Source organism: Homo sapiens, chromosome 6 (genome assembly GCF_000001405.40).
Source record: "Homo sapiens chromosome 6, GRCh38.p14 Primary Assembly".
Lineage (NCBI taxonomy): Eukaryota > Metazoa > Chordata > Mammalia > Primates > Hominidae > Homo > Homo sapiens.
This window is the reverse complement of record NC_000006.12, coordinates 94,782,849-94,795,331: the sequence shown is the minus strand read 5'-3', so window position 1 is coordinate 94,795,331 and position 12,483 is coordinate 94,782,849. Positions and strand designations below refer to the sequence as shown.

Below are 12,483 nucleotides of genomic sequence, written 5' to 3'. Positions count from 1 at the left end.
AATGAAGCTTTTCTCTTGATGTAATAAAACTTCTAAAAAAGCAGAGTTGGTTATCTGCACCATTTTTCTTTAATTCATGCTATACATTTGTTGAGGAATACATGTGTGAATGTATGTGTGTGTGCATATATATATATATATATATATATATATAAACATTGAACAAAGAATTCTGTTATTACAAATCACAAGTCTTGTCTCAGCCTAACAATCTGGTAATGCGGCAAGCAGATATTAAGCATTAAAATGTAGTTCTATAGAAGTACACTTATTAATACACTAAGAAAGGTAAACTAAAAAATTTCTTAAAGTTCTGTTATATGTAGGCACTGTGTTATACAAATAAAGTGAAATGATTCAGACAAAACATCCACACATGGTAGGGAGAAATGAGCACAAAAATTAGTGTTCTAACAGTGTTACACATGTGACATTTTAGAAAAGATATCAGAAAGGTTTGGATATCAACTTGATGGAATAGGAAGGAAAATGGAAGACTGAAAAAAATTCTCATTCCCTACATGATAAATTCCAAGCTAACCTGACATGCCATGTCCTTGAAAAACTGGACTATGCTTACTTCCACTTCCAGCTTCTGTCAATCCTTTGCATTAACCCTCACGTTTATATACAGAAAAAATAACATGCCTGAGGTTCCATAACATACCCTCAATCTTCATACCCCTACCCTGCACATGTGTTTTCATCTTGTGCTTGCATTTGCAATTTCCTTGATTGCCCCTACTCCTCACATGTTTTCTTAGAATTGTATCGCCATTTTAAGTCACTTTATTTTAGATTTTTTTTGACCATATTTAGTTCCCCCTACAAAGTCTGAGTGGCAGCCATTTGGCTCTTATAAAATCTAATGCATATCTGTGATTCTGTCCATGTTCCTTGTATTAAGATTCTTTGTTATCCATACTAACAAATACGGTAAATTTTTGGGACACAAAGATTACATCTTATTTTTTAATTCTAGTACTTAGCACAATTTGGGGTTATATAATATATAATACACAGGATTAGTATACCCAACAAAAGTTTCCACATGAAATTGAGATGACACATTTGAAAACTTCAAGGTTGAGTAGAAATTAAATAGGAAGACAAATGCAGTAAGATCATTCCAGAAATAAGAACCAATGTAAAAAATGCAGAATTCTAAGAAAATATAGTGTTAGGTCATCCTATAATATGATTCAGAAATGAGTTTTATTTCTGGGAACATGCCTGACTTATTATCTTATTCTCACATGAGACAACATGGTTATCTTGAAAAGGTATGCAAAGTTTGTGAGTCTGGGATCATGAAATTCAGAGACTGATTTTTCCCCTAAGCTAACTTGAAGTATCCTGACTTCCACTGTCAGTAGAGTAGAAAAGTATGCCTATCAAAAGACTAGGATAGAAAGAAAGATACAGGAAAAGACAGAGGATGTAAAGAAGAAAGAGCTAGGCATTATCTAGGCATGTATTTTGTCTTCAGTTTAAACATCCCCCCATTACCTGGTTTTGGTTTAGTTGACACATTGTAATTGTATATATTTAAGGGATATAATTTGATGTTTCAATACATATATTTGTTGTATAATAATCAAATAAGGAGAGTTAACATACCCATCAGCTGATGCATTTACAATTTCTTTGCAGTGAGGATATACCATACTTTACTGTTAAGCAAAGAATAAAAGAGTGGTTATCAGAGATTGGGGAGGGGAAAGGAGAATGGAAGATAAAGAGAGGTTGTTCAACAGCTACAAAGTTACAATTAGATAAGAGGAATAAATTCTCATGTTCTGTTGCACACTAGGGTGACTATAGTAAAGACTTGTATTTTTATATTTATTTATTTATTTATTTATTTATTTAGAGATGGAGTCTTGCTTTGTCCTTCAGGTTTGAGTGTAGTGGTGTGATCTCAGTTCACTGCAACCTCTGCCTCCAGGGTTCAAGGAATTCTCGTGCCTCAGCCTCCCGAGTAGCTGGGATTATAGGCTCCCAACACTATGCCAGGTTAATTTTATATTTTCAGTAGAGATGGAGTTTCACCATGTTGGCCAAACTGGTCTCAAACTCCTGACCTCAAGTGATTTGCTCGCTTCAGCTTCCCCAAAGTGCTGAGACAGGTGTGAGCCACCGTACCCGGCCAAGACCTGAATTTTTAATTGTCCACTGAACAACATCATTGCACAGATTCACAGGCATATCACTTCATCTTCAGATCTTCTACTCCATCTGAATAATGATTTCAGCTAATGCCATATTTATTTGTTACTTTAACAAATTTTTATTGATAAAGTAGATTGTATATTTCACCGTGCCAGACATTCAGTATTGTCCAGTAAACAAAATAGTCATAATATCTGCACTTGAGGAAATAGTCAAACTGTGTAGCCAAGAATAATATGAATCCTCTTAGATCCCTTCTCATCATTTCACTTTCCATATCCACTCAATCACTAGGTTACTAGATCCTTTTGAATCTACTTCTCAATATTACATCCCTCAAATTTGTCCCTTTTCTCTATTTGCACAACCACCTTGGATTGAACTCATAGACTTTTCTCACTTAAACAAGCCTCTTAATATTATTTGCTCTGTTTTGCACTCACTATATATTTTCCACCCTATTTTTTATAAACAGACTTAATCATATCTCTGTTGTGCTTAGCACCTTTATCTTGCCTTCTTCTATCCCAACAAAACACCTATTTTTTCAAGGTTTCAACATGACTCTGTATGACTCAGGGGAAGAAACTCTAGTTGAGTTTCTGAGGCTGATGCTGATTGGTATATGATTATCTAAACCAATCATAGTAATCTCTTTTTCCATAGCTACTAGTTATGTTATGGATAGGCATGTGTCTCAGTTCTGGCAAATGAGAGACTTTGGGTGTCTTTTGAAGGGTTTCTTGGAAAAATTTCTTACTCTTAGGAAAGATTAATTGGAAGATATGATACATCTTGATGCAATGCCTGGAACGTCTGTACCCATTTTGCTGTGTGTGACCTTGAAAAATAAGCCAAAATAATTTCAGTGAATCTTAACTAATTTCCCGAAGTTATCATCCTTGTATGCCACCTTGACTTTGCAAAATTAACATTGTGAAAGTCCAATTAGTCGGGATTTCTCATATTTGCATCTTTATGCATGCCAGATAAGGCCTTCCATGATGTTCTCCTGATTTTCAACCTTAACTCTTGTACCCCCTTACTTTTTGAACTATTGTTTCAACTAAATTGGTTGAAACACCAAGACATGCATATGGTTCACCTGGGATCTTTTAGAAAGCAGATTTTGATTTAGTAGTTTTGGAGTAGGGTCTGGGGTTCTGCGTTGTAGTTTATACTATGCTGCTGATCTATGAATCAGTCTTTGAGTAAATATGTACTAGATTCCCTGTAAGTACTCTTTTTAGACCACCGGGCTTGGAGAAGACAAAACCAGCACTGAAGCTGTGCATATTATGAGGCATATTTTCTGATCCTTGTCTTGTTAATCACTTCTTTCTAAGGCACTAGTTCCTTTGAAATCAGATAAATTCTCTAGTAAAATAACATAAATGGCCAACACATTATTAACACTCAGAATCAGAATGTGTGCATATATATATATGTATATATCAGAATACACACACGTGCACATGTACTTAAATGACGGTATTTCATTCTTAATGCCATATCCTCTTGTTTGCTCTGAAAGTTTCCTTTGAGTTAACTCAAAAAACTGTCTAGATTAGAAATTTGAATATGTGATAGTTTTAGAAAGAACTCCTTAACAAGGAGTTCCAGAAAATGATTAAAGCTATATTAATTACTGGAAACTAGTTTCCTGCAGTTAAGAACAGTGGATTACCTAGAGTAATTTAAAATAAATACCTACTGTTATTAGCATAAAACTTTGTTTTCCAAATTACTGGTAAAAATTGTCTAGATTTTATAATTTTTCTCTATTTACTAGTTTCCAGGGTTCTCGTTTACACTGGAGCTAGAAAAACTTGAAATTCTGCTGATAATTGGTGTCTTCCTGGTTCTGACATTTGAAACATTTAAACCACAATGAAGTTTCTTCTGTCTTTTATTTGCACTTTTCTCTTACATGAGAAAATATAATTACAGACAAAACATCAAGAAGATCATACATGGCAATTGTTATTCAAATCAAGATGTAAGTAATGCAAACAGTAGTGAATATTTAATAATTCATTTCTAGAGTAACTATAAAAGGAAAAAATAACATAAAATATAATAAGAATGTTAGTATTTTTAACTGGAGACAAGAGTTCTAGGAGTCTTCCAACTTATTTATTTTCTACTTCTTTGAAAAAAAGAAATATTTAGTTTGATAAATTTTTCTAAACATTTGTTGACTAGGGCTTATTTTTTATAAAGAAGTCTAATTTTAGTTATAAAGAAAAATCTTTGTAGGTGGGTGTGGTTGTTTTCTCCAATTCAATTTAAATTCAAATACTACATCCTTAAGAACACAATCACGGGAGAAGTCGTTTCAGGCTTAAATTTCTGTTCAACTTTCCTGCTCACAGTATAATAAATTAACCTAAGCAAATTCTCTTTGTAAAATGTCCTTTTTACTAGAAATATCCAGAGATCTAATATTCATAATCATTTGTGAGTTTTAATATTATATTTTTTATTAAACTATGGCAAGATTGTTTTAAAATTATTATATGTAATGGGTTATAAGTGATAAAAATTGCTGGAAAAATTATTAAACTATTCTAGAAATTTAATGAATAAGATTAGATATTAAAATAATAATAATCATAGAAATAATAACTGATGTATTTACTGCATGCCAAACTATTATAGTCCTCACATTATGTTTGCCATTTTTATTTTCTCCCTTCTATTCTATTAAACCTTACAATAAATTTACCTGGGCAATTCTTCTAAAATTCTCTTCTTCCAGAAAACATCCAGAGGTCAAATATTCATAGTTATATATGAGTTTGTATAGTATGCCACCTTGGAACAAGAAGATGTATGATTTTTTGTCAATTATTATGTTCTTTCCATTATGATTCAATTATGAAATATTGGTTCCTAATTATTATAGGACATGAATTCAAGAAATATTTGTGGCTCCTTCAAAGATAATTAACTTATACAGGGATTTAAATGAATAATGTTAAAAATTAAAATAATTTTAATTTTAATAATAGCAGTAATAATAAAATAATGATAATAATAGGCATGTTTATTATGTGCTGCACTAACAAGTTTGGTGTCATGACTAAACCATGTCTTTCTTCATTCTATTTGGCCACACAGCTATTTTTTTCTCTATAATACAGGGAGTTTCATGAAGCCACAACTTTACTTAAAATGGTTAAAGGTTTAGTTTATTTCTTCAGGTTCAGGTGTCTTTTTCTCCCTTTCATTGCTATAGAAAGAAAATTGGGCTCCATTGTGATTTTTATAGCATTTTTGTAAGACTGTTTATTTTCTTGTATTTTAAACGTCCCCAGAGGCAGCATGCTCCATATCTGTAAATTTAAATGTAGGTGTAGTTATTTAGAAATAAATAAGAAAATAAATAAAATATGTAGGATGATGCAAGCAGATATACAGCAGAGAACAACACATTTTGATTGTTGACTAGAAAACATGGGAAATTTTGTCATCTTCAATTTACCTTGCTTCACTCTGACCAAAACTTTCTCCACACAATGATGTATAGAATGGAGATGTGGTTTGTGGAATGGTTGAGATTTTTTCCTTGTGTGTGTGTGTGTGTGTGTGTGTGTATGTGCGTTTTCTCCTGAAGCTGGATGTAAGCATAGATGCCATTCAGTTAGAACACTGACTACAAGTTGAACGCAAAGGGTCCTGACCTCATTGAAACAGTTATTTGTGGTGAGGCAGTGTCTGCAAATAACATCTGTTAGACTAAATGCCTAGTGCATGAGATGGGGAAAAGGCACCTTCACACAAAAACGTAATATCCAGATTAGATGCCTGCTCCTTATTGAGTTTAGTAAAGAAAAGTTCTATTTGCTCTCAGCCCTGAGAATTACACAATGCATTCTCCTATCTCCAAAAATCAGCCTTGGATAGAAAAGGTACAATTTTAGAAGTAGGAAGAGTGCTAATATGTGAAAGGATTTATTTCAAATTTTTCTACACAAGGCATTTTTCTCTCAAATACTTTCAGATTCTAAGGCATTTCTTGACAATATGTATATTTTTAATTGTAATTGATCCTGATATATAAATGTTAGAACTGGAAAAATTGAAATATCTATCAAGTAATAAATTTTACTAAATCTGCCACAATGATAATGCAAAATTCAAAGTTCAGGCTGAAGACTATATTCTTCTTAAACATTTCCATCAGCTTTTAAAATATGGGAGTGCCATCAAATTATATTTGACAGTGTAAGTAAAGCAAAAGGTGTACAGGGCTACTGTGTTTCATTGTGTTGATATGGAAATTGAAGCTCATATAAACCAAAAGTCAGATTCAGGAGTATTTCACTCATGCAAATCTGCCTTTAGAAATCACTTCTATCTGAAGATGCAAGCAAAGATTTAAGAATAGATATATAGGTGAGAATATACATTAATAAACTGATAGAAATGTATTGAGCACCTACTATGTCCAAGTAGTAGTGTACAGTACTTCTGGTGCTGACTGAGGTAGCATTTACAAAAAATAAAGGTTTAAAACAATAAATCTATTCAAATATTACACTCAAATGGCTTACATTCAAGTCAGAAAGATTTTAAGTCTTCAATGGTATGACTTCCAGAGGAGGGACTATGCTTATGCTAATTGCCTCCCTGGATTGCTTTCTTTTCATACTAACTTACTTATAATAACTAACATCCAATATGCAAAATAAATTCAGACTTGAACCATGACAAGAGAAAGTTATATCACTAAGTCCATTGTTATAATATTTATCTTATTACTTTGTACTTATCTGTCTTATTACTCCAAAATTTATAAAGACTACAAGAGCAAAAACTTTAGTGGTATTGTTGACAGTTGGATTCTTACACAATGTAAAAAAGCAGGTGATCAGTATATATTAATATATGAATACAATTATAAATTAATATATAAATATGACTTTATACATTATTTCTTATAATTGCTTTTTGTGTGCATATGCTATTGATAATTTTTTACTATTCTTAAAGGGGAGAGGTCTGTGTCATACATATCTCTGTATTTCTTACATGCTTGTACAGTGATTTTTACATAGTAAACATTTAATATATTTTGTTCTTTTTTTTATAATCAGGGAGATCTAACAGAGTGAATTTAGGTAGGAATCTAAACTAGAAAATTACTGCAATAAACAAAAGACCATAGGCATTTGCTTACATATACACATATTGTAAATTTAAAATTATTTCTTATGGGGTTTAAACTACATATCATCCATCCTAGTATACTTTGAATATAATGAAATGACTGAATTTCTAAATTTCTGTGGCTAAAGTAGTACCTTAGTCCCTTTGCACTGCTATAATGGAATACCACAGTCTGGTTAATTTATTAAAAGAAACAGAAATTTATTTGACTCACAGTTCTGGAGGCTAGGAAGTCTAAGTGCATGACACTGGCATCTGGTGAGGGCCTTTGTACTGCATCATCTCATGACAAAAGGTAGAAAGGCAAGAGAGGGCAAGAGCAAGAGGAAACAAGACAGGGCTGAACTCATTTTTAAAACTAACCCACTCCTGCAATAACAGCATTAATCCATTCATAAGGGCAGAGCACTCTTGAGCTAATCACCTCTTATTAGGCCCCACCTACCAACATTGTTGCATTGGAAATTAAGCTTACAACACATAAATTTTGGGGCACTCTTTCAAACCATAGCAGTTAGGTAAGATAAAACTAAATTATCTGCCTATGCATTGTAATTTTTGTGTTTATCATCAATGACATAATTTTTCATTTCTAATATATCAGTCTAAGGAGATATGCTTTACATCCTGGCAAAAACTAGATGACACTGTTCCTGCACTGATAGTCATAATATTTTGTTTTTGATATCTAGTGACTCAAAGCCTAAATTTCTATGCTTCTCTTATCCTCTTTTATAGTGGAAAACAGGTGATTCTTCCACGTTTATACATAATGCCTAGCTAGTGCTCTGAATTGAGGTTAAAGACATTAGTTCAACTCCCTCTTTTTGTGATCTATTGCACTTAGAGGAAGCTGGTATGTTTCTATATAATCAACTCAACAGTATATGAGCCATTTATTTTACATTGGCATGGTTTGGTAAAGCCCTAGCTTAAGTTTCTTTGCTTTTGCTTTCCTGTTTTACTTCTTTATAATTGAAAATGAACATGAGCTAAATGTGATATATACAATTCCAAATGTAGAATAAAATCAATCCATGGAGTTATAAGTAACTTTACATATTATATAGCATGCAATCAATATAGTATATTGGAAGAGTATTAATAATTTTATGTTAGAACCCATCTTCATTTTTCTCATCACATAATATCTACATTTCTTTTTGATACTTCTGTTTCTGTTTTTTCTTCATTCTCTTATATGATTCATAAGAATTTTAATCTTTTAAGATACCTCATCTTGATGTGAACAATTACTGTTGATTTTCCTGCATTTTAATAGCTCGTCTACTGTATTCGACTTGTGATTAGAAAAATATCCTTTTCTTACAGTTGGAAAACACGTGGAGCCCATGTCATTACCAACTTTGACTTAAACCTGTGTTTTTTTATAGATATCAAATAAAAGCAATATCTAGGAAAACAGTTTCTCTTTCAGAAAAAAAAATATAATTTTTGAGGGGTTTTAGTGATAGAAATCATTCAAATAAAAAATATAGTGTCATCCTGCTAGGAATAGTAAACCTTTACCAGAAATAAAATCTGAGTTATAAGAATCATCTAGCAACTCTCCATCATCCTGTGGCTGGGCTATAAAACATGTAGCTGCTAGAAATAAACAAGGAAACTTCTTTTCAGGACTTTGACATTTAATTCTATTTGAGGCTTGTTAAAGGTCATTCAATTTCTTTGCTTGCATTTTGCTTTCATTATCTTGCAAGCTACTTGGTGAATTAATTCATTTAATACTGTGAAGATGAAAATTGATTTGTATCAGATCATCTCATTCTGTAGATAACTTGCTAATTTCAGAAACATTTCATTGTTATTTGTAATGATGAAGAGGGGTATGGAAAAGATTTATGAGAAATAGAAGATCAAAGAAATCAGACATTCTAAAAAGACATCATTTTTCTGAATATATATTTTTAAATGACCATACTTGTATATTTTATAACAGCAAATGGGAAAAGAAAATGAGTGTGATAAAAAGCTGTTTATTAAAAATGAAGAGCAAGAACTAAAAGTTTAAACACTACCAGAAACATCATACTCAGACCCAAATAAAAATATCAGGATAGGGCTCGAGGCAAGATGGCCAAATAGGAAAAGATCCAGTCTGCAGCTCCTGGGGAGACTAATGCACAAGGCAGGTGATTTCTGCATTTCCAATTGAGGTACCCTGCTCATCTCATTGGGACTGGTTAGACAGTGGGTGCAGCCTACGGAGGATGAGCAGAAGCAGGGTGGGGTGTTGCTTCACCTGGGAAGCTCAAGGGGTCCAGAAAATCCTTCCCCTAGCCAAAGGAAGCCTTGAGGGACCCTGCCGTGAGGGACAGTGCTATCTGGCCCAGATACTACACTTTTCCCTTGGTCTTTGCAACCCACAGATCAGGAGATTCCCTCGGGTACCTACACCACAAGGGCCCTGGGTTTCAAGCACAAAACTGGGAGGCTGTTTGGGCAGACAACTAGCTAGCTGTAGGAGTTTTATTTCATAACCCAGTGGCACCTGGAACCCAAGTGAAAGAGAACCATTCACTCCCCTGGAAAGGGGACAGAGGCCAGGGAGCCAAGTGGTCTTGCTCAGCAGATGCCACCCCCACGGAGCCCAGCAAGCTAAGATCCACTGGCTTGAAATTCTCTCTGCCAGCACAGCAGTCTGAAGTCCAACTGGGGCACTCCAGCTTGGTGGAGGGAGGGGCATCCACCATTACTGAGGCTTGAGTAGGTGGTTTTCCCCTCACAGTGTAAACAAAGCAACCAGGAAGTTCAAACTGGGCGGGGTTCACCACAGCTCAGCAAAGTCTATGTAGCCAGACTGCCTCTCTAGATTCCTCCTCTCTGGGCAGGGCATCTATGAAAGAAAGCATCAGCCCTAGTCAGGGGCTCATAGATAAAACTCCCATCTCCCTGGGACAGAGTACCTTGTGGAATGAGGCGGCTGTGGGCACAGCTTCAGCAGACATACACGTTCCTGCTTGCCAGCTCTGAAAAGAGCAGTAAATCTCCCAGCACAGTGCTCGAGCTCTGCTAAGGGACAGACTGCCTCCTCAAGTGGGTCCCTGACCCCTGTGCCTCCTGAGAGGGAGACATTTCCCAGGAAAGTTCCACAGACACCTCATATAGGAGAGCTCCAGCTGGCGTCTGGTGGGTGCCCCTCTGGGACGAAGCTTCCAGAGGAAGGAGAAGGCAGCAATCTTTGCTGTTCTGCAGCCTTCAGTGTTGATACCCAGGCAAACAGGGTCTGGAGTGAACCCCCAGCAAACTCCAGCAGACCTGCAGTAGAGGGGCCTGACTGTTAGAAGGAAAACTAACAAACAGAAAGCAATAGCATCAATATCAACAAAAAGGATGACCACGCAAAAACTCCATCCGAAGATCACCAACAGCAAACACCAAAGGTAGGTAAATCCACAAAGATGAGGAAAAAATGGTGCAAAAACGCTGAAAATTCCAAAAACCAGAATGCCTCTTCTGCTCCAAAGTATCACAACTCCTCACCAGCAAGGGAGCAAAACTGGATGGAGCATGAGATTGATGAATTGACAGAAGTAGGCTTCAGAAAGTGGGTAATAACATACTCCTCCAAGCTAAAACAGCATGTTCTAGCCCAATGCAAGGAAGCTAAGAACCTTGATAAAAGGTTAGAGGAATTGCTAACTAGAATAACCAGTTTAGAGGGGAACATAAATGACCTGATGGAGCTGAAAAACAGCACAAGAACTTCGTGAAGCATACACAAGTATCAATGGCCAAATCGATCACGCAGAAGAAAGAATATCAGAGATTGAAAATCAACCTAATGAAATAAAGCAAGAAGACAAGATTAGAGAAAAAAGAATGAAAAGGAATGAACAAAGCCTCCAAGAATATGGGATTATGTGAAAAGACCAAACCTATGTTTGACTGGTGTACCTGAAAGTGACAGGGAGAATGGAACCAAGTTGGAAAATATTCTTCAGGATATTATCCAGGAGAACTTCCCCAACCTAGCAAGACAGGCAAACATTCAAATTCAGGAAATACAGAGAACACCACAAAGATACTTTTCGGGAAGAACAACCCCAAGACATATTATCATCAGATTTACCAAGGTTGAAATGAAGGAATACATGTTAAGAGCAGCCAGAGAGAAAGGTCGGGTTACCCACAAAGGGAAGCCCATCAGACTAACAGCAGATCTCTCTGCAGTAACCCTACAAGCAAGAAGAGAGTGGGGGCTAATATTCAACATTCTTAAAGAAAATGAATTTTCAACCCAGGATTTCATATTTAGCCAAACTAATCTTTATAAATGAAGGAGAAATAAAATCCTTTACAGACAAGCAAATGCTGAGAGATTTTTGTCACCACCAGGCCTGCCTTACAAGACTCCTGAAGGAAGCGCTAAATATGGAAAGGAAAAATTGGTACCAGCACTGTAAAAACAATCCACTAGGAAGAAACTGCATCAACCAATGGGCAAAATAACCAGCTAGCATCGTAATGACAGGATCAAGCTCACACGTAACAATATTTACCTTAAATGTAAACAGGCTAAATGCCCCAATTAAAAGACACAGACTGGCAAATTGAATAGAGTCAAGACCCATGACCATGCTGGAATCAGGAGACCCATCTCACATCAAAGACATACAAATGCTCAAAATAAAGGGATGGGGGAAGATAAACCAAGCAAATGGAAAGCAAAAAAGGCAGGGTTTGCAATCCTTGTCTCTGATAAAACAGACTTTAAAGCAACAAAGATTAAAAAAGACAAAGAAGGGCATTAAATAATGGTAAAGGGATCAATGCAACAAGAAGAGCTAACCATTCTAAATATATATGCACCCAATACAGAAGCACACAGATTCATAAAACAAGTTCTTAGATACCTACAAAGAGACTTAGACTCCCACACGGTAATAGTGAGAGACTTAAACACCCCACTGTCAATATTAGATCACAAGACAGAAAATTAACAAGGTTATTTAGGGCTTTAACTCAGCTCCAGACCAAGTGGACCTAATAGACATCTACAAAACTCTCCACCTCAAATCAACATTCTTCTCAGCACCACATAGCACTTATTCTAAAATCGACCACATAATTGGAAGTAAAAGACTCCTTAGCAAATGCAAAAGAATGGAAATC

General features: G+C 35.2%; 1 annotated feature.

Annotated features, from left to right (window-relative positions):
• Positions 10,154 to 10,223: an enhancer, noted in NCBI's record as "active region_24838". NCBI's record gives its function as "activates an Ori minimal core promoter by ATAC-STARR-seq in GM12878 lymphoblastoid cells {active_cell/tissue: GM12878}" and the evidence as "EXISTENCE:reporter gene assay evidence [ECO:0000049][PMID:35858748]".